Below are 21,545 nucleotides of genomic sequence, written 5' to 3' on the forward strand. Positions count from 1 at the left end.
TCCTGTTTGAAGCCACCTGCCTTAGCCAGGATGTCTGGCTGGATGCCACACCCTCTCTGTATGCCCCAGAAGTCAGAAGCCTCACCAGAGGTTATGCAGCCTGGCCAGGCCCCAGGTACCCTCAGAAATCACCCGTAGATTCCAGTCCCATCATGGAGCATATCTCCGAAACCCCCAAGCAGAGGTAGGTGCTATTGGGCTCCCCCTGGCCCAGCCTGGAGTTGGGCTCCTCTCCCAGACACGGTGAGGGTAGTAACCTGTTAATCATTAATCTGGGGGCAAATCGGTTCATTTCCAGTCCACCAGTTCTACACCCAAACCCCTCCCTGCAGCCTGGCAGGAAACCCTCAGAGCTTGACCCTTGGCAGGTCCAGAGCAGAACAGGATGTCAAGCCCAGCTGAGGAGGCCACGCCTTGACTGGTTTCCAGTGTGGAGGGCAGCTTGGGGGCTGCAGAGCTACCTCGCCTTCAAACGCCCTCCTCCTCACCCTTCTGCTCACACAGTTCCCGTGTTTCAGAAACTAGACCTCCCTGGTAGCAGCTGATTGACTGACAGAGGGGAGAACAAGCAGGGAGTGATGGAAATTTTGGCCAATGAGGCTGCATATCCTTCAAGACCTGCCTCAAATGCCATTTTAATAGCTATTATTGTCATTATAGCTACATTCATATCATATGACATATGATATATAACACATTATTATTATTTTACTTAAGTTCTGGGATACATGTGCAGAACATGCAGGTTTGTTATATAGGTACACATGTGCCATGATGGTTTGCTGCACCCATCAACCCGTGATCTAGGTTTTAAGCTAAGCTGCATGCATTAGGTATTTGTCCTACTGCTCTCCCTCCCCTTGTCCCCCACCTCCCGACAAGCCCCAGTGTGTGATGTTACCCTCCCTGTGTCCTTGTGTTCTCATTGTTCAACTCCCACTTATGAGAACATGTGGTGTTTGGTTTTCTGTTCTGGTGTTAGTTTGCTGAGAATGATGGTTTCCAGCTTCATCCATGTCCCTGCAAAGGACATGAACTCATTCTTTTTTGTGGCTGCATATTATTATTAATTATTATTATTATTATTATTTTTGAGACAGAGTCTTGCTGTGTGGTCCAGGCTGGAGTGCAGTGGCGTGACCTCAGCTCACTGCAACTTCCGCTTCCCAGGTTCAAGCAATTCTCCTGCCTCAGCCTCCCAAGTAGCTAGGACTACAGGTCCCTGCCACCATGCCCAGCTGATTTTTGTATTTTTAGTAGAGATGGGGTTTCACTTTGTTGGCCAGGCTGGTCTCAAACTCCTGACCTCAAGTGATCTGCCCACCTCGGCCTCCCAAAGTGCTGGGATTACAGGTGTGAGCCACTGTGCCCAGCCCAAGCTGTGTTCTTGTCTGGGACTCCCCTATAGTGTGGAGTGAAGGCTCAAAGTTGGTTTGTCTAACTAAAGGCGTCATCCTTGATTATGACCTCTGACATCTGGAGAGTGCCAGAATTCCCTAGGCTGCCCTTGGGGGGCTTAGGGAACCTCGTCTCTATAAAAAAAATGTAATAATTAACCGGGCGTGGTGGTGTGCACCTGTGATCTTCTTCCTTTGCAGTACAAACTCTTATCGCTGCCTACTGGCCAATTGGCCAGGAACATGCACCCTGGTGTTTCAATCTCCAAACATTAACATTTTGCCTAACAACCAAACTATTCAGGTTCCTTTAGTAGTCCCTGTTTCCTCCTTCTCCACACACACCAGGCGGGCTGTACACTTCATTCTCTTTAGCAGGGGCAAAACATCTCTGCTACACTCAGCACCAGGATAGCTGGTTGGCCCTTTCTTAGGACCCCAAATTTTCCTCCTCATAATACTAACAATTGGCCCATGTGTACTCACTTCCTATCCCACTTTCTCTTCCAAAGGCTGAACTCCCTTGTCCAGGCAACACCCAGAAACACATTAATACCATCATTCTCTTCTGCCAAGTCCAATATCAGTGCCTCAAGGAAAACAGCTCTGGGTAGGGTGTGCTGGCTCACGCCTGTAATCCCAGCACTTTGGGAGGCCAAGGTGGGCAGATCACCTGAGGTCAGGAGTTCAAGACCAGCCTGGCCAACATGGTGAAACCCTGTCTCTACTAAAAATACAAAAATTTGCCAGGCATGGTGGTAGGTGCCTACAGGCTGGAGGCTGGAGAATTGCTTGAACCCAGGAGGCGGATGTTGCAGTGAGCCGAGATTGTGTCATTACATTCCAGCCTGGGCAACAAGGGCAAGACTCCATCTAAAAAAAAAAAAAAAAAAAAAAAGAAAGAAAACAATTGTGAAGTCAAACACCCACTGCTTCAAAACACAAACCTGAGTACAGCGCCCTATTCAGCAAGAAGCAGCCAGACAGTCAACAATGCCCCTCTTCCTTTTAAAGTAAAAGGCAAGAATGTTAGTCCAAACTGCACCATGTTGTAAGCTCCCTGCTATTTTGCAGATCTTGGTCAAAGTGAAACATTTCACAGGGGTTTGTGCTGTGAGAAACATCTTGCCTAACCACCTGACCACAAGGTGGACAAAGGCCCAACTAAAGAAATATCCCTATCATGTCTTGCTGGACAAAGATCCAAGGAACACCATGATGACATCCTGCTGGAACAAGGGCCAGAACAGCCACATCGTGGGAACGAATATCTCATCAATATCCTGCCGGGCAGCAAGCCATACTGCCCAGGCCACTCCCACCCATACCTATAAATTGCCCCAGCCTGTAAGCAGTGTAGGCTCTGGCATTAGGCTGGTCTTTTGTAGGTTTTATGCTGGATGTAAAGCCTGCATTTGCTGTTAAGCTGCCCTCTTTCTGTGTCTTTCTTTAGCCCTCACCTTCCCTTCAAAACCTAACAGCAGTAACATATAGTACAGTTCGTAGCTTAGGAGCTGTAGGCCATACCACATAGCCTAGGTGTGCTGTGGGCTATACCACCTGGGTTTGTGTAAGTATACGCTATGATGTTAGCACAAGGTGACATCACCTAATGACACATTTCTCAAGCTCCTCCTCATATGGCAAGCAATGCATGACTGTATATGAAAGCTCTTAAATAGGGATTAAGTTTCTAAATCTCTAAAAGAAAAAAGTCATTATTTACTGCATATGGACATTTTTTTTTTGAGATGGAGTTTCACTCTTGTTGTCAAAGCTGGAGTGCAATGGCAGGATCTTGGCTCACTGCAACTTCTGCCTCCCGGGTTCAAGCAATTCTTCTGCCTCAGCCTCCCATAGCTGTGATTACAGGCACCTGCCACCATGCTTGTTGTGGGAAGTCAGGGACCCCCCGAATGGAGGGACCTGCTGAAGCCGTGACAGAAGAACATAAATTGTGAAGATTTCATGGACATTTATTAGTTCCCCAAATTAATACTTTTACAATTTCTTATGCCTGTCTTTACTACAGTCTCTGAACATAAATTGTGAAAACTTCATGGACATTTATCACTCCCCCAATCAATACTCTTGTGATTTCCTGTGCCTGTCTTTAATCTCTTAATCCCATCATCTTCATAAGTTGAGGATGCCTGTCGCCTCAGGACCCTGTGATGGTTTCGTTAACTGCATAAATTGTTCGTAAAGCATGTGCATTTAAACAATATGAAGTCTGAGTACCTTGAAGAAAGAACAGGATAACAGCGATGTTCAGGGAACAAGGGAGATAACCATTAGATCTGACTGCCTGGGAGCCAGGCGGAACAGAGTCATATTTCTCTTCTTACAAAAGCAAATAAGAGAAATATTGCTGAATTCTTTTTCTCAGCAAGGAACAGCCCTGAGAAAAGAGAATGCATTCCTAGGGGGAGGTCTCTAAAATGGCCGCTCTGGGAATGTCTGTCTTATACAGTTGTGATAAGGGATGAAATATGCCCCGGTCTCCCCTAGCACCCCCAGGCCTATTAGGATAAGGAAATTCCTGCCTACTAAATTTTAGTCAGACTAGTTGTCTGCTCTCAAACGCTGTCTCCTGATAAGATGTTATCAATGACAATGTGTGCCCAGTGGGACATGAAACTTCATTAGCAATTTTAATTTCACCCTGGTCCTGTGATCTTGCTCTGCCCCCATTTGCCTTGTGATATCTTATTGCCTTGTGAAGCATGTGATTTCTGTGACCCACACCCTATTCATACACTCCCTCCCTTTTGAAATCCATAATAAAAACTCGCTGGTTTTGCAGCTTGGGCGGCATCACAGAACCCGCCGACATGTGATGTCTCCCCCGGACATCCAGCTTTAAAATTTCTCTCTTTTGTACTCCTTCCCTTTATTTCTCAGACCGGCTGACACTTAGGGAAAATAGAAAAGAACCTACGTTGAAATATTGGGGGCTGGTTCCCGCAATATCCACCCAGCTAATTTTTTGTATTTTTAGTAGAAACGGGGTTTCATCATGTTAGCCAGGCTGGTCTCAAACTCCTGACCTCATGTGATCTGCCCACCTCAGTCTCCCAAAGTGCTAGGATTGCAGGAGTGAGCCACCATGCCCGGCCAGAATTTTTTTTAAAACATTCATTTCAGTGGGAACTTAATTTGGGGCTAGCATGTTTTATTTAACTTTCACCCCAAAGTTGCAAAGTGTTTCGAGGTTTTTCTCTGTAAAATAATTATTTTAATTCAATTTAAATAAAACCCATCAAGGAAACTTTAACCTTTAAGAAATCTAGCTTCCCATGAAATGTGAGAGGAAGTCAGCACTGATTTCAGAAATCTGATTATAACAGTAGATCTACCCCTTGATGAAGTGAGTCTTGGAATCCCTTCCATTTAAAACCATTAATCTGCAACATATGCCTATTCTAGGCACTGGAATAAGATGAAGCACCTGCTTGGCGTTCACATGCTATTGATTGTGCCAGACAATGAGCAATAAAATAGGTAAGAATGGCAGTGGGGGAAGTCAGCTGGGTTCTAGTTACAGCCGCATTTCAGGAAATTGTTTAATATGCTGACTTTAACAACCTAAACCTCTTGTCCATGTGTGCACACAGGGTAGACCTCTGAAGAGTGGCGCTGTAATTTCTATGGTAACGGCTGTGTTAAGTCAAGGCAGGAAGACAGTTCAGCCTCCTCGCAGGCTAGTAGTGCAAAGGGCTCTTCACTCGGATTAAAGCCTTCTCTCCCAGACTGAATTGCCCCCCCCACTGTGAACCCCCTAAACTTGAGACAGGTCTCAGTTAATTTAGAAAGTTTATTTTGCCAAGGTTGAGGATGCACCAATGACAGCCTCAGGGAAGTCTTGACAAAATATGTCCAAGGTTGTCAGGCACAGCTTGGTTTCATACATTTAGGGAGACATCATGAGACATCAGTCAATATATGTTAAGAAGTACATTGCTTCATCTGGAAAGACAGGACAACTTGAAGCAAAGGCAGGAAGACTGAAGTGGGAAGGAAGCTTCCAGGTCACAGATGGCTGTTACACAAATGGTTCCATTCTTTTGAGTTTCTGATCAGCCTTTCCAAAGGAGGCAAATCAGATAAGCATCTATCTGATTGGGCAAAGGAGTGACTTTGAATAGAATGGGAGGCAGGTTTGCCCTAAGCAGTTCCCGGCTTGAGTTTTCCTTCGTGATTTTGGGGACCACAGATATTTTCCTTTCACATTTCCCCCCTTTTCTTTTTAAAAATCTGTTGGAGAAAGCATTTTACAAGAAAATGAGTCTCTGGTCTCAGGTTTCATTTGATCTCTCATGGCGAGGACAGTTTATTCCTTGATGGGTAGGTCCCAAAAGCTCATTTTTAGCAGGTTGTTAAGTCTCATGTCCTGCGAAGAGAAAATAGTGGGAGGAAGAGAGAGAAAACAACAACAAACAAAAGAACAATCCGGGAAACATTTGATATAGGCCTCATTACTCTGAAGTCTATGCATCAGTAGGCAGGTATGAAAGTGGTTTATGTATGTAAATAGGTTGCTGTTATTTTCTTCTGAAGTTTAAGTTGTCTGGCTTCAGTTCACAGGATTTTAAGAAAGCACAGCTTAGTTTTCAGTGACTCCAAATTAGGAAAAATGGAAAAAAGAAGGAAAAAAAAATTTAAAAATTATTTTGGAGACTTGTAATAAAAAAAAATTAGAATTTGGTCCAAACTGTAGAAAGTAATCCAAATTGAAAAAAAATTAGGCAAGACTAGAATCTAACACAGATATATAATCATTTGGAAACATAAGTTTTTCTCCAGTTTCCCATTTTACTAAAGACAAATCATGGTAGGAATAGTAAACTTATTATATTGGTCTATATATTTGTATACATTGCATCAATAATAATAATTTTTTTTACATAGGCTTTTAAATTGGCTTTGATGTAACTTTGTTCCATAAGAGAAATCTTGGATAAGACACACCCACCTCTTCTGCCTCAGGAACTGACTGAGACTTTGATGAGACTTTGATTCCATTTGTAGGCACAGATTCAGCTGGAGACCTGCCCCTGGAGCCAGAGAAATCTTGGATAAGACACACCCATCTCTTCTGCCTCAGGAACTGAGACTTTGATGAGACTTTGTTTGCATTGGAGACCTGCCCCTGGAGCCAGAGAAATCTTGGATAAGACACACCCATCTCTTCTGCCTCAGGAACTGAGACTTTGATGAGACTTTGATTGCATTCGTAGGCACAGATTCAGCTGGAGACCTGCCCCTGGAGCCAGAGAAATCTTGGATAAGACACACCCATCTCTTCTGCCTCAGGAACTGACTGAGACTTTGATGAGACTTTGATTCCATTTGTAGGCACAGATTCAGCTGGAGACCTGCCCCTGGAGCCAGAGAAATCTTGGATAAGACACACCCATCTCTTCTGCCTCAGGAACTGACTGAGATTTTGATGAGACTTTGATTCCATTCGTAGGCACACATTCAGCTGGAGACCTGCCCCCGGAGCCAGAGCAATTTGCTGCTGCACATCAGGATCTGTATGACAAGCTGACTCAGCAAGAAACGTTCCTAGAAGTGGTTCCAATGCAAGACTAGGACCAGAACCAGGCCCTAGCTTAGCTTTTCACCTCAAAAGTAGGTTGAAAATGTAGACCAGGATCTGTATGACAAGCTGACTCAGCAAGAAACGTTCCTAGAAGTGGTTCCAATGCTAGACAGGGACCAGAACCAGGCCCTAGCTTAGCTTTTTGTTTGGACTCCGGTGAAGGCCCCAAGATGGCGACAGGCAACCATCTTGGCCACCCTGACTCAGCATTAGCGGGTTCATCTTCCCCCCGTTCCCGCCATCCCGGCAAGAACGTGAGCCCGCTAAGGCGTGTCACACTCAGGAAAATAAAACCTAACTAACTCCGCCCTTGCCCCACCCCGAATCCGCCCCTAACTCACCTAGTGTCCATATAAGCCTGCTGCACCTCCAACACAGTGCGACTTCCCCGGCCCTCCCCTGCGGACCAGTGAACCTCGTCCAAGAGCTTAATAAAGGAACTTTTGCATTCTTTGCCCTGCCTCTCGACCCTTTTTGTCTATGGAACCCTTCCATTGCCTTTCACTTTTCACCTCAAAAGCAAGGTTCTAAATGTAGACCAGAATCTGTATGACAAGCTGACTCAGCAAGAAACGTTCCTAGAAGTGGTTCCAATGCTAGACTGGGACCAGAGCCAGGACCTAGCTGAGCTTTTCACCTCAAAAGTAAGGTTCAAAATGTAGACCAGGATCTGTATGACAAGCTGACTCAGCAAGAAACGTTCCTAGAAGTGGTTCCAATGCTAGACTGGGAGCAGAACCAGGCCCTAGCTTAGCTTTTTGTTTGGACTCTGGTGAAGGCCCCAAGATGGCGACAGGCAACCATCTTGGCCACCCTGACTCAGCATTTCTGGGTTCATCTTCCCCCCGTTCCCACCATCCCGGCTAGCACGTGTGCCCACTAAGGCGCGTCACACTCAGGAAAAGGAAACCTAACTAACTCCGCCCTTGCCCCACCCCGACTCCGCCCTCACCTCACCTAGTGTCCATATAAGCGAGCTGCACCTCCAACACAGTGCGACTTCCCTGGCCCTACCCTGCGGACCAGTGAACCTCGCCCGAGAGCTTAATAAAGGAACTTTTGCCTTCTTTGCCCTGCCTCTCGACCCTTTTTGTCCGCGGCACCCTTCCATTGCCTTTCACTTTTCACCTCAAAAGTAAGGTTCAAAATGTGGACCAGGATCTGTATGACAAGCTGACTCAGCAAGAAACGTTCCTAGAAGTGGTTCCAACGCTAGACTGGGACCAGAACCAGGTCCTAGCTAAGCTTTTCACCTCAAAAGTAGGTTCAAAATGTAGATCAGGATCTGTATGACAAGCTGACTCAGCAAGAAACGTTCCTAGAAGTGGTTCCAATGCTAGAACGGGACCAGAACCAGGCCCTAGCTTAGGTTTTCCCCTCAAAAGTAAAGTTCAAAATGTAGACCAGGATCTGTATGACAAGCTGACTCAGCAAGAAACGTTCCTAGAAGTGGTTCCAAAGCTAGACTGGGAGCAGAACCAGGCCCTAGCTTAGCTTTTTGTTTGGACTCCGGTGAAGGCCCCAAGATGGCGACAGGCAACCATCTTGGCCACCCTGACTCAGCATTTCCGGGTTCATCTTCCCCCCATTCCCGCCATCCCGGCTAGCACGCGTGCCCACTAAGGCGCGTCACTCTCAGGAAAACGAAACCTAACTAACGCCGCCCTTGCCCCACCCCGACTCCGCCCCTACATCACCTAGTGTCCATATAAGCGTGCTGCAACTACAACACAGTGCGACTTCCCTGGCCCTCCCCTGCGGACAAGTGAACCTTGCCCGAGGGCTTAATAAAGGAAACTTTGCCTTCTTTGCCCTGCCTCTCGACCCTTTTTGTCCGAGGCACTCTTCCATTGCCTTTCACTTTTCACCTCAAAAGTAAGGTTCAAAATGTAGATCAGGATCTGTACGACAAGCTGACTCAGCAAGAAACATTCCTAGAAGTGGTTCCAATGCTAGACTGGGACCAGAGCCAGGCCCTACCTCAGCTTTTCACCTCAAAAGTAAGGTTCAAAATGTAGACCAGGATCTGTATGACAAGCTGACTCAGCAAGAAACGTTCCTAGAAGTGGTTCCAATGCTAGACTGGGAGCAGAACCAGGCCCTAGCTTAGCTTTTTGTTTGGACTCCGGTGAAGGCCCCAAGATGGCGACAGGCAACCATCTTGGCCACCCTGACTCAGCATTTCCGGGTTCATCTTCCCCCGGTTCCCGCCATCCGGGCTAGCATGTGTGCCCACTAAGGCGTGTCACACTCAGGAAAACGAAACCTAACTAATTCCGCCCTTGACCCACCCCGACTCTGCCCCTACCTCACCTAGTGTCCATATAAGCGTGCTGCACCTCCAACACAGTGCGACTTCTCTGGCCCTCCCCTGCGGACCAGTGAACCTCGCCCGAGAACTTAATAAAGGAACTTTTGCCTTCTTTGCCCTGCCTCTTGACGCTTTTTGTCCGCGGCACCCTTCCATTGCCTTTCACTTTTCACCTCAAAAGTAAGGTTCAAAATATAGACCAGGATTTGTATGACAGGCTGACTCAGGAAGAAACGTTCCTAGAAGTGGTTCCAATGCTAGACTGGGACCAGAACCATGCCCTAGCTTAGCTTTTCACCTCAAAAGTAGGTTCAAAATGTAGATCAAGATGTATATGACAAGCTGACTCAGCAAGAAACGTTCCTAGAAGTGGTTCTAATGCTAGACTGGGACCAGAACCAGGCCCTAGCTTAGTTTTTCACCTCAAAAGTAAGGTTCAAAATGTAGACCAGGATCTATATGACAAGCTGACTCAGCAAGAAACATTCCTAGAAGTGGTTCCAATGCTAGATTGGGACCAGAACCAGGCCCTAGCTTAGCTTTTTGTTTGGACTCCGTTGAAGGTCCCAAGATGGCGACAGGCAACCATCTAGGCCACCCTGACTCAGCATTTCCGGGTTCATCTTCCCCCGGTTCCTGCCATCCCGGCTAGCACACGTGCCCACTAAGGCGCGTCACACTCAGGAAAACGAAACCTAACTAACTCCTCCCTTGCCCCACCCCAACTCCGCCCCTACCTCACCTAGTGTCCAGATAAGCGTGCTGCACCTCCAACACAATGCGACTTCCCTGGCCCTCCCCTGCGGACCAGTGAACCTCGCCTGAGAGCTTAATAAAGGAACTTTTGCCTTCTTTGCACTGCCTCTCGACCGTTTTTGTCCGTGGCACCCTTCCATTGCCTTTCACTTTTCACCTCAAAAGTAAGGTTCAAAATGTAGACCAGGATCTGTATGACAAGCTGACTCAGCAAGAAACGTTCCTAGAAGTGTTTCCAATGCTAGACTGGGACCAGAACCAGGCCCTACCTGAGCTTTTCACCACAAAAGTAGGTTCAAAATGCAGATCATGATCTGTATGACAAGCTGACTCAGCAAGAAACGTTCCTAGAAGTGGTTCCAATGCTAGACTGGGACCAGAACCAGGCCCTAGCTTAGCTTTTCACCTCAAAAGTAAGGGTCAAAATGTAGATGAAGATCAGACTGCAGATCATCAGGCATATGAGGTCTCCTCCATGGTTGCAGACAGTTTAACCTCTAGTAGGCTCTGTAGTTATGGTAAGGGATGGAATTGTGAGTTGAGTCAGGCTTGAATGCTGAGCCTGACCTTTGTCTGGAGGTGGAAATGTCACCTCACGGCATTTTGGAGCTGGAGCTGTAGTCGTCAGGGCTGTAGAAGGTTCAACCTTTGTAGTGGATTCAGGCGTGATGGTAAGCCCCCGATCTAAAGGTTGAATTGTGAGTTGAGTCTGACCCTTGTCTGAAGGTAGAAGTCTCACCTCAGGATGTTTTGGAGAAGAAAATGTAGTCGTCAGAGCTGTAGAAGGTTCAACCTCTGTAGTGGATTCTGGAGTGATGGTAAGCCCCTGATCCAAAGGTTGAACTGTGGCTTGAGTCAGGTTTGAATGCTGAGTCTGAACATGGCCTGGATGTGGAAGTGTCACCTTAGGGTGGTTTGGAGGAACTATAGTCTTCTTCAAGGGTGTAGGATGTTCAACCTCTGTACTGGATTCTGGGCTTATGGTAACTCCCAGGTGCATAGGTTGAACTGTAATGCTGGGTGACATTGAATGCTGAGCTTGATCCTGACCTGGTGTTGCGGCTGTTACCTCTTGATATGCTGGAAGTTGGGGTACAACTTTCTTAGGAGGCTGAGTTGGGGTCTCCTGCATGGTTGGAGAAAGTTCAACGTCTGTCATGGATTCTGGAGTGATGGTAAGCCCCAGATCCAAAGGTTGAACTGTGAAACTGGCTAATATTGAGTGCTGAGCTTGATCCTGCCCTTGTGTTGGAACTGTCACCTCATAGTGAGCTGGATGTTGAGCTGCAACCTCCTTAAGTGGCTATGGAAGCTGAAGTGGGACCATCTGCTGGCTTGAAAGTTCTATGTCCTTAGGGGGCTCTGGAACCTGAACTGTGGCCTCCTGCTGGGTTGGAGAAGGTTCTGCCTCCATAGAGGGCTCTGGAATCTGAGCTGGAACCTCCTGCTGAGTTAGTTATGGTCCAACCTCCTGAGGGAACTCTGGAGGCAAAGATGGGGCTATCTGCTGGGTCAGAGAGGGTTCTGTCACCATAGGGGGCTCTGAAGACTGAGCAGGGCCTGCCTGCTAGACTGGAGAGGATTCTACCTCTTTAGTTGGCTCTAAAAGCTGAGTTGGGGGCTGCTGTAGGACTGGAGATGGTTCGACCTTCTTAGGTGGCTCTGATGGCTGAGCTGATATCTCCTGCTGCGGTGGAGGAGTGACCTCTTCAGTGGACTTTGGAGGATGACCTGAGGCTTCCTGCTGGGTTGCACATGGTTCAACCTCCTTAGGGGCCTCTGGTGACTCAGCTTGAACTCTTGCTGGACTGGAGAAGGTTCTACCTTCTTAGGGGTATCTGGAGTCTGAGCTGTGGCCTCTTACTGGACTGGAGGTTCAATCTTTTCAGGAGAATGCAGAGGTGGGGAAGGCAGATCAGGCTGGGCTAGAGAAAAGTCAGCCTGCTCAGTGGGAATAGGAGGGTTGTCTTGCTGGACTGGAGAAGGTTCAACCTCCATAGTGACTGCTGAAGGTATGGGAAGCTCCATATCCACATTTTTAACTGTGGTATTAGGCAAAGTTGAATTACTTCTGAATATTGAAGACAGATCTAGAGGTGAAAATATCATCCCATCATTCAATGAACTTTCAAAGTCTGAAGAGAGCTCGACTGGAAGCTGAGTTGTGGGCTCTTGATGGACTGGAGGAAGTTCATCATTTTCGGGATATTTAGCTGCTGAACTATAATCTCTTGCTGGTGTTTCAAATGTTGAAACTGCTCAGGGGACACTAAGGGCTGACCTGGGTCCCCCTGTTGGGTTAAAATTTCAACCTGATTAGTGAAATCTGGAGTCATGGTAACCATGTGATCCACAGGTTTAACAGTGACATTGTACAATGTTGGAGGCTGAACTTGATCATGACTTAGAGGAGAAACTGTTACCTCATGATGCTCTGGAGATTGAGCTACAACTTCATTAAGGAGCTCTGGAGTCTGAGCTGGGGCCTCCTGCTGGGTTAGAGAAGACTCAACCTCCTCAGGGGTCTGTGGATGCTCAGCCTCCTGCTGGGCTGCAGAGGGGTTCTGATCCTTAATAGGTTCTGGAGACTGAACTGAAGTCTCCTGTTGAACTGGTAAAGGCCCAGCCTCTTCCAATGACTCTGGAGGCAGAGGTGGGCCCCCATGCTGGGTGGCAGAAGGTTCTACATCATTAACTGGCCCTGAGAGCTGAGCTGTACCCTCTTGGTAGACTGGAGAAGTTCCCACCTCTGCAGTAGGCTCTGTTGCTATGGTGAGCTGCATATCTGGAGGCTTAACAGTGACATTGGGCAAACCGGAATGCTGAGCTTGATGGTGACCTGGAGGTGAAACTGTAACTTCATAATGTTCTGGAGGCTGAGCTGGGGTCTCCTTCTTGGCTGGAGAAGATTCAACCTCCCCAGAAGACTCAGAGGGCTAAGCTGGCTGTTCCTGCTCACTGCGGGAAGGGTCAGCCTCCACAGGAGGACCTGGAGGATCAGTTGTGGCCTCCTCTTGGGTTGCAGAAGTTTCCACCTCCTCTGGAGACTGGGTTGGGGCCTCCTGCTGGGCTGGAGAAGATTCAGTCTTCTTGGCAGACTCTGAAGTTATGGCAATATCCACATCCGCAGGTTTAACTGTAACATTGGGCAAGTTATAATGAGCTTGATCCTCGCCTGGAAGTTGGACTGTCACCTCATGATTCAGTGGAGTTTGAACTGCACCCTCCATAGACTCTGGAGCTGAGCTGGGGCCTCCTGCTGGGTCTGAGAAGGTTCAACTCCCCTAGGAAACTCACAAGGCTGAACTGGCTGCTCCTGCTCACTGGGGGAAGGTTCAACCTCCACAGGAGGACCTGGAGGCTCAGCTGGAGTCCCTTGCTGAGTTGCAGAAGGTTTCATCTCCTCAGGGAACTCTGTTGTCTGAGCTGGGGCCTTTAATTGGGCTGAGGAAGAGTTGACCTCCTTGGGGTGCTCTGGAGGCAGAGAGGCAGCCTGTTCCTGGCTTGACATTGGGCAAGTGTGAGTGCTGAGCTTCACTCCAACTTTTAAATGGGACATTTACCTCATGATGTATTGATGGCTGAGCTACAATTTCTTCAGAGGGAGGTAGCTGCTGTGCTGGGGACTCCTGCTCTGTTGAAGAAGAGCGACCCCCTCAAGGGACTGTGAAGGCAGAGCTGGGGACTCCTGCTGGGTTAAAGAAGGTTCTACCTCCTCAGGGAGCTGTGGAAGCTGTGCTGGGGCTTCTTGCTGGTGCTAAGAGGACTGGATCTCTTCAAGGGTCTCTGGGTTTTGAGTTTCAGGCTCTAGAAGGAATTGAGAAAGTCCAGCTTGCTCATCTGAGTTCATCTGGACTTCTGAAGGCAGGCTGCCCGGATACAGTTGATGACTAAGCTCTGATTTTTTATTTTGCCCAAATTCCTACCTAAGGGGTCTAGGGAGTCATGCCCTACAAACCATAAATTCTCACGAGATGGGTTTTATTTGACCCTATATATCATGACTTACTTTTCAATGTAATTCTGGCACAAGGAAAAAATATTTAACCCACAATATATTTCCTTGCCATACCTTGAAATTGCCCTGCCAAATCTCAAGTGGGAAAAATCCACATTCTATAGAGAATCAATCCCCTTTCCTCTTTGTTTTCCTTCCTTTTTTTCCAGATCCAGGAGAGAATAAACTATAAGCCAGGCACCCTTTTAGGTCCAATAAGAAACATTTTATAACCTACTTTCCCCCTGAACTCTGCTGAGAGATTCGTCTGCACAACAAAACATGGTCTCCACAATCCTTTATCTTAACCTGAACATTCCTTTCCATTGATCCCAGGTCTTCGGATAAACTCAACCAATTGTCAACCAGAAAATATTTAAATTTAACTATAGCCTGGAAGCCCCCACTTTGAGTTGTCCCGCCTTTCTGAACCAAACCATTGTATTTCTTCATGTATTCGATTGATGCCTCATGCCTCCCTGAAATATATAAAACCAAGCTGTACCCCAACCACCTTGGGCACTGTAAGGCTCTTGTGTTGGTTTGAACCCTGAGAGCACACCAACAAACATGCAGCTAATGCTCAGTGCATCAAAAGATGCTAGTGTTTGAAAGACTCAGAGACTTCTCTCAGGAATTTGCCAAGCACTTACAGAACTCCATTTATATACAAATCTTTCTTACCCTGCCATCTCAAAAGGTATGGCTGATGGTCCATTATCTCTCAGAAAAATGTATTATAGCTCCAGATGGTAGAATGACCAGGAAGAAATTTCATCTTGCAAGTCAGTGTTTATTAAGAACCCACTGTATGCCCAGCATCACACCAGGCTGGCAAGAAACAAAATAATCCTGAGTGATCATCCTTCACAGAAAAAAGACTTGAATCATAATTGTAACAATCTAAAATCCAAACATCATCTTTTAGTGTGTCTTATAGTTCATTAAATTTTTGAATTGTTAAACACTGTGACTTGGCCAGGCGTGGTGGCTCATGCCTGTAATCCCAGTACTTTGGGAGGGCGAGGCGAGCAGATCACCTGAGGTCAGAAGCTTGAGACCAGCCTTGCCAACATGGGGAAATGCTGTCTCTACTAAAAATACAAAAATTATCCGGGCCTGGTGGCAGGCACCTGTAATCCCAGCTACTAGGGAGGCTGAGGCAGGAGAATCACTTGAACCAAGGAGGCAGAGGTTGCAGTGAGCTGAGATCGCACCATTGCACTCCAGCCTGGGTGACAGAGCGAGACTCTGTCTCAAAAAACAAAAACAAACAAACAAAAAACCACTGTGACTTGATTTTTTACTCTGGAGAAGCAAAAACTACATAGGCACATTTTGAAACACTTGGGGAAATGTATTGCAAAGCAAGGATGAAGCACTGAGGATTAAACATCTGCAAAGTGGGAAATGATGTGAATTCTAACAACAGGCTTAGAAAGTTAACATCTCTGGAAAATAAACCTCTAAAAAAAAACACACAAAAAGCCAAAGCACACTACACTTGGTGGAATATATTATGCATGACACAGAAAAGGCCAATATGTTCTACAGCCACGTTCAGGAAATGGTCTGGTTAAGACTAAAAGACGGGGACAATGGGTTCTGAGAAATCAAATGTGGAAACCAACACACTTTCGGACACACTCAGGCAAGCAGTCCATCTAACCCTAAATATCTATTAACAAATTCCTTCAAATCGCTGCTCAGACTAGGGACAAAAACATTTTAATGCACCTGACACCGGAACCACACACAAACTCGGCACAATGGCAACTGCGCAGGCAGCTTTGAAATGCTGCCTTCTCTACAAATGGCCTAAATTCTAACCATCTGTCTCTATCTGATCAGAAAAACGTTTCCACCATGTGAATTTCCACCTTTCTGTCTCAGACCAGTCCAACCAGGTTATTTTCACTTCTGCCTATTCCCCTTCAATTTAACTGCTTCTTCTTCAGGTTTTTGTGTTAGAAAAAGAGATTCTTCTGTCTAGGTCTAGTCTCTGTGGCAATGCACAAAGTCCCTGTCATTTAGGGTTGGTTTCCTCCTCATCAATCTTTTTCAGATACCCCCTAAAAAAGATGACGCTCAGAGATCTGAACTCCAGCCCCCACAATCTGTCAAGTGCAGGCCGACCCCCACCGCAAGCCTGGCTTATGTTAGCAGTGAAGGTTCGAGACAGAAGCTCTTCTCGCTGTCTCTCCTGCTGCTCCCTTGCATAGCACTGGTGCTGGAAGTTTCTGAGAGCAGTCTGCAGTTGATAGACATCATACTTTAACTGCTCAACCTGACTGGAATTGATGGAAAGAGAGATTAAATTTAACTCAGGGCAGCAGAGTCTGAGGGGGCCAGATTTTGTACTGACAAAAGACAGCATTTCCTTACTTCTCCCTACACCACCCCCCCACTATCCCCCACCCACCATGAAATCTGATTTTGATCAGTGATGTTGAAAGTAAAGAAGTAGCCTGTGGTTAAGGTGAGATGGTAGCGCATGAGATTCTGGCAGCTTGACTTCAGAATCTGCTGCTCTCTGATTCTGAATGCATGACAGGGAACAGGGGACAGGAAGCAGGTTCACTGACCTCTTCATTCTCCTGGAGGAAGCCCAAGGGCATCTTTGAGGTAAAGCATCCACGAAGCTTCATAAAACTTTCGGAAACAGGCGCTGGGGGTGGAGGTGGCAAGGGCGGTTTCATTTTAATTTCATGGTGGAGTATCAAACATTAGATCAGTATTTCATTATAGATGGACTGATTGAAGTGATTTTTCTTTTCAATCCAAGAAGAACCCAGCAGCAACCAAAGAGCAGAACAAAGCTTCATGGCAGCATTAGGCTGCAGGTGGCCATGGGTCTTGTCAGAGAAACAGAACTGGAGGCAAAATTTCAAAACGACACAAAGAGGTATGGGGTCACAAGTCTTCTAAGCCACAAACCTCACAGGCTATTTATTTTGAGACGGCATCATCCAGATAGAATTGCACCCGTTGGGGGGAATTTTTCTTTGCATATAGTCTTAGTTTTTCAACAGAAAATTCAGAATATTCTATCACCTCCCCGCTGGGAGAAAAGGCTCTCTTAATGGGCCTGGGGTATCAGAGCCATGTCAGAGGTCAGCACTCAGTTTGGCATTCTGCCTTTTGTTAGGGGGCTTCTTGCTGGACAAAATCTCCAGACTTCCAGACAGCTGAATATCTTGCCGGTCTATGCTTGCTTGGATTTTGTTTTCTACTACTGCACAAAAGAGAAAAAAGAATAATTGCTGGAAAAGAGACAGTGAACTTAAATTACAATGATAAATCAAAGATTGTTTTCAATATCCAATAAACTAGAAAATACACATTTCAAAAGAAGAAAAATGTATATACTAATAAATAGAAAATTCAAGTTATGCTATAAATGTTGTTTTGAAAAAAGTACATATATATAGCTGTTAATGCCATAACAATGCCAATATTTTTTCTTTTTTTTTCTTTTTTTTTAACCTCTGAACTTTTTATTGGCCTCCTGCTCCCCAAAGGGTCCCCTGCTTCTGCTGGCTTAAGGTATCAGAACTTTGGCATCACTGGTCTCAGACACCACTTTGCCATCCAATATCCGGCAGGTGGTAGTCTTTTGGATGGTTTGCATGGAGTTGCTGCTGTCCAGGGCATCACCAAGATTGAAAGATTGAAGTCCTCACTGTCTTCCAGCAGGCGGTGGTAGGTGGCGATCTCAGCCTCCAGCTTGACCTTGATGTTCAGCAGGGCCTCATACTCCTGGGCCTAGTGCTGTCCCTCTGCCCGGGTCTGTGCCAGCTCTGACTCCAAGTGCAGCAGGATCCTGTTGAGCTGCTCCGTCCGCAGGGTGTAACAGGCCTCCACCTCCCTCAGGCTGTTCTCCAAGCTGGCCTTCAGATTGCTCATGGAGTCCAGGTCGATCTCCAAGGACTGGACTGTATGTCTCAGCTCCGTGAGCGTCATCTCAGCAGCTCCAACCTCGGCAGACTGCGTGGTGACAACTGCGGTGCTCTCCTCAATCTGCGGAGACCAGTACTTGCCCAGCTCCTCTAAGTTCTTCGGAGCCAGCTCGTCATATTGGGCCCAATGTCTGCCAAGATTTTGGCAAGGTCATGAGATTTGGGGGCATCTACCTCCACAGTCAACCCAGAGCTGGCAATCTGGGCTTATAGGCCCTTTACTTCCTCTTCATGGTTCTTCTTCATGAAGAGCAGCTTCTCCTTGAGAGCCTTGATCTCTGCTTCCAGCTGCAGCCAAGTGACATTGGTGTCATCAATGACCTTGTGGAGCCCATGGATGTCACTCTCCACAGACTGGCACATGGCCAGCTCTGTCTCATACTTGACCCTAAAGTCATCACCAGCAAGACAGGCATTGTCGATCTGCAGAACAATGTGGGCACTGTCCACAGTATTTGCAAAGATCTGAGCCCTCAGGTTCTCGATGGTCTTGAAGTCATGGCTCCAGTCTCTGACCTGGGGTCCCTTCTTCTCCAGGTGCTCCTGGCTCTCCAGCTTCCAGTTCTTGGTATCCAGGCTCCTAACTCTGTCCAGGTAGGAGGCCAGGTGGTCGTTGAGGCTTTGCATGGTTTCCTTCTCATTCTGGATGACTCCCATTCCTGCCAGACCCCCGGCCATCACTGCGGGCAGGCCCCTGGACCCCATGCTGCCCTGGAAGCTGGTGAAGCAGGACATGGAGATCCGGGAACCAGAGCCCCTGATGCCTGCATAGACACTGGCCACACTGCTGACCAGCTGGGCACATAGCTGGGTGCCTGGACAGTGCCCAGGGACTGGTAGTTGGTGGAGAGGGTGGAGCAAGTGGTGAAGTTCATGCTGTCCGGGGAGGAGAGCAAGAGGACAGGACTCAGGTTTTGACGGCCAATTTTTTGTTAAAGCTGAAGGTAAATCTGTAGAAATAAATGTTCTACCTTTAGAAAATAAACATTTAAAGGCTGTCCAAATAAATACCTTACGCTAAATTTTCTGATACAGTTCTCTTTTCCTTTGAGATTGTTCTCACACATGGATTATAAATACCTAGTAAGAAGACTGCAGATTAATTCCCTATAGTAATGAGGTTTGTTTGTTTGTTTGTTTAGAAACAACAATATAGGCTAGGCACGGTGGCTCACACCTGTAATCCCAGCACTTTGGGAGGCCAAGGTAAATGGATCATGAGGTCAGGAGTTTGAGACAAGCCTGTCCAATATGGTGAAACCCTGTCTCTACTGAAAAATACAAAAATTAGCAGGGCATGGTGGTGCATGCCTGTAGTCTCAGCTACTCAGAAGGTTGAGGCAGGAGAATTGCTTGAACCCGGGAGGCAGAGGTGGCAGTGAGCTGAGATTGTGCCACTGCACTCCAGCCTAAGCAACAGAGTGAGACTCCATCTCAAAAAAAAAAAAAAAAGGACTACAATAAATGCCAACAGCTCTGGTTGTTATCCATACGGCAAAAAGACACCTCAGGTAACACACAAAACAAACTCTAGCTCCCTTAAAACTTAAGTGGAAAAAGCAAAGATTTCAAACTTTCTGAAGAAAATACAGGCATGCAAAAATGACCTCAGGCTAAAGAAGGATAAAACCCAGACCAGGCGCAGTGGCTCACGCCTGTAATCCCAGCACTTTGGGAGGCCGAGGCGGGCGGATCACCTAAGGTCAGGAGTTTGAGGCCACCATGACTAACACGGTAAAATTCTGTCTCTACTCAAAATACAAAAATTAGCCAGGCATGGTGGTGCATGCCTATAATCCCAGCTACTTGGGAGGCTGAGGCAGGAGAATCACTTGAACCCGGGTGGCAGAGGTTGCAGTGAGCCAAGATGGTGCCACTGCACTCCAGCCTGGGCAACAGAGCAAGAATTTGTCTCAAAAAAAAAAAAAAAAAAGACAAAACCCAAAAACTACCCGCCCCCACAAAACCCACAAACCACAAAGGAAAAGACTGATACATCTGACTACATTTAAAAAAAAAAAAACTTCTGTACACCAAAGCCACAAAATAAACAAATAAATGAATAGCACAGACTGGAGGATCTCTGCAGCAGATAACAAAGGACTGATGTGCAGAAAATATATAAAGAATTGTTGCAAGTCAATAGGAATAGTCAAACAGGAAGTTTTTTTTTTTTGGTTTTTTGTTTTGTTTTGTTTTGTTTTGTTTTTAATGGAGAAAGGGCAAATGACAGAAAAGAAAACCCAAATGGTCAATCAATACACAAAATGACACTCAACCAGGAAAACAAATGAGAAGCAATGAGATCACATTTATCCTGTCAAACTGACATATATTTTAAAGTTTGAGGACATAGGGAAACTGAAACTCTCATACCCAGCTGGTGGGATTATAAATTGGTAAAACGGCCGGTCGTGGTGGCTTACGTCTGTAATCCCAGCACTTTGGGAGGCTGAGGTGGGCGGATCACGAGGTCAGGAGATCGAGACCACCCTGGCTAACACGGTGAAACCCCATCTCTACTAAAAATACAAAAAAATTAGCCGGGTGTGGTGGCAGGCGCCTGTAGTCCCATCTACTCTGGAGACTGAGACAGGAGAATGGCATGAACCCGGGAGGCGGAGCTTGCAGTGAGCCGAGATTGCGCCACTGCACTCCAGCCTGAGTGACAGAGTGAGACTCTGTCTCAAAAAAATAAATAAATAAATAAAAAATAAAAATAAATGGGTAAAACACTTTAAATGCTTTCTGCTTTTAAAGTTATTTCTACTAAATAGTAGAAATAACTATTCTACTAAATAGTAGAAATAACTATTCTACTAAATAGTAGAAATAACTATTCTACTAAATAGTAGAAATAACTATTCTACTAGTTATTTTTAAAATAACTAGTAGAATAAAGCATGTGTCCATTCTATGACCCAGTATTTTTAGTATTGAGGAGATGTACATGACATGGATGTTCATCAAAGCACTTTTGTACAGGCCCATAATCCACTGACTTTTCCCATCCAATCTCTATTTGCTTTGAACCAATTAGAGAAGATGTAGCCCATAATGCAATTCCAATCATTACATTTCATGCTATGAAAAGATAAATGTGAAACAACAAAGCAAGTATGAATGGCATGATAGGAACTACTAATATGCCAAGTGGAAAATCTGTTTCAAACTCAACTGGGAATTCCAACAACACAACATGCTGGAAGTCAATACGAAACAGTCGAGGCCAGGCGTGGTGGCTCATGGCTGTAATCCTAGCACGTTGGGAGGCTGAGGTGGGTGGATCATTTGAGGTCAGGAGTTCGAGACCATCCTAGCCAACATACAGTGAAACCCCATCTCGACTAAAAATACAAAATTAGCTGGGTGTGCTGGTGCAAGCCTGTAGTCCCAGCTACTTGGGAAGATGAGGCAGGAGAATCTCTTGAACCCGGGAGGCAAAGGTTGCAGTGAGCCTCGATCATGCCACTGTACTCCAGCCTGGGTGGCAGAGCGAGACTCCATCTCTCAAAAA

At 46.4% G+C, this 21,545-nt stretch overlaps 1 long non-coding RNA gene and 1 pseudogene across 2 annotated transcripts in view, besides 2 other annotated features; both read right to left on the reverse strand.

The window, feature by feature from the left end:
* Positions 1–5,200: 5,200 nt before the first annotated feature.
* Positions 5,201–14,035, reverse strand: LOC101926984 (leucine-rich repeat-containing protein 37A3). The gene has a single exon (XR_001752821.1). It is a non-coding gene; the product is annotated as a leucine-rich repeat-containing protein 37A3 (long non-coding RNA).
* Positions 6,170–7,369: an enhancer, noted in NCBI's record as "CDK7 strongly-dependent group 2 enhancer chr17:26591629-26592828 (GRCh37/hg19 assembly coordinates)". NCBI's record gives its function as "activates an origin of replication core promoter dependent on BRD2, BRD4, P300/CBP, MED14 and CDK7 cofactors, with strong dependence on CDK7, by STARR-seq in HCT116 cells {active_cell/tissue: HCT116}" and the evidence as "EXISTENCE:reporter gene assay evidence [ECO:0000049][PMID:35650434]".
* Positions 8,765–9,964: an enhancer, noted in NCBI's record as "BRD4-independent group 4 enhancer chr17:26594224-26595423 (GRCh37/hg19 assembly coordinates)". NCBI's record gives its function as "activates an origin of replication core promoter dependent on BRD2, P300/CBP, MED14 and CDK7 cofactors, and independent of BRD4, by STARR-seq in HCT116 cells {active_cell/tissue: HCT116}" and the evidence as "EXISTENCE:reporter gene assay evidence [ECO:0000049][PMID:35650434]".
* A 3,517-nt stretch (positions 14,036–17,552) lies between the features above and the next one.
* The window catches only part of KRT18P55 (keratin 18 pseudogene 55), a 31,397-nt pseudogene continuing 27,404 nt past the window's right edge, over positions 17,553–21,545 (reverse strand). Inside the window, exon 3 of the transcript NR_028334.1 lies at positions 17,553–18,978. The product of NR_028334.1 is annotated as a keratin 18 pseudogene 55 (transcript). The remainder of the gene's footprint in view (positions 18,979–21,545) is intronic.

Source organism: Homo sapiens, chromosome 17 (assembly GCF_000001405.40).
Source record: "Homo sapiens chromosome 17, GRCh38.p14 Primary Assembly".
Taxonomy (NCBI): domain Eukaryota; kingdom Metazoa; phylum Chordata; class Mammalia; order Primates; family Hominidae; genus Homo; species Homo sapiens.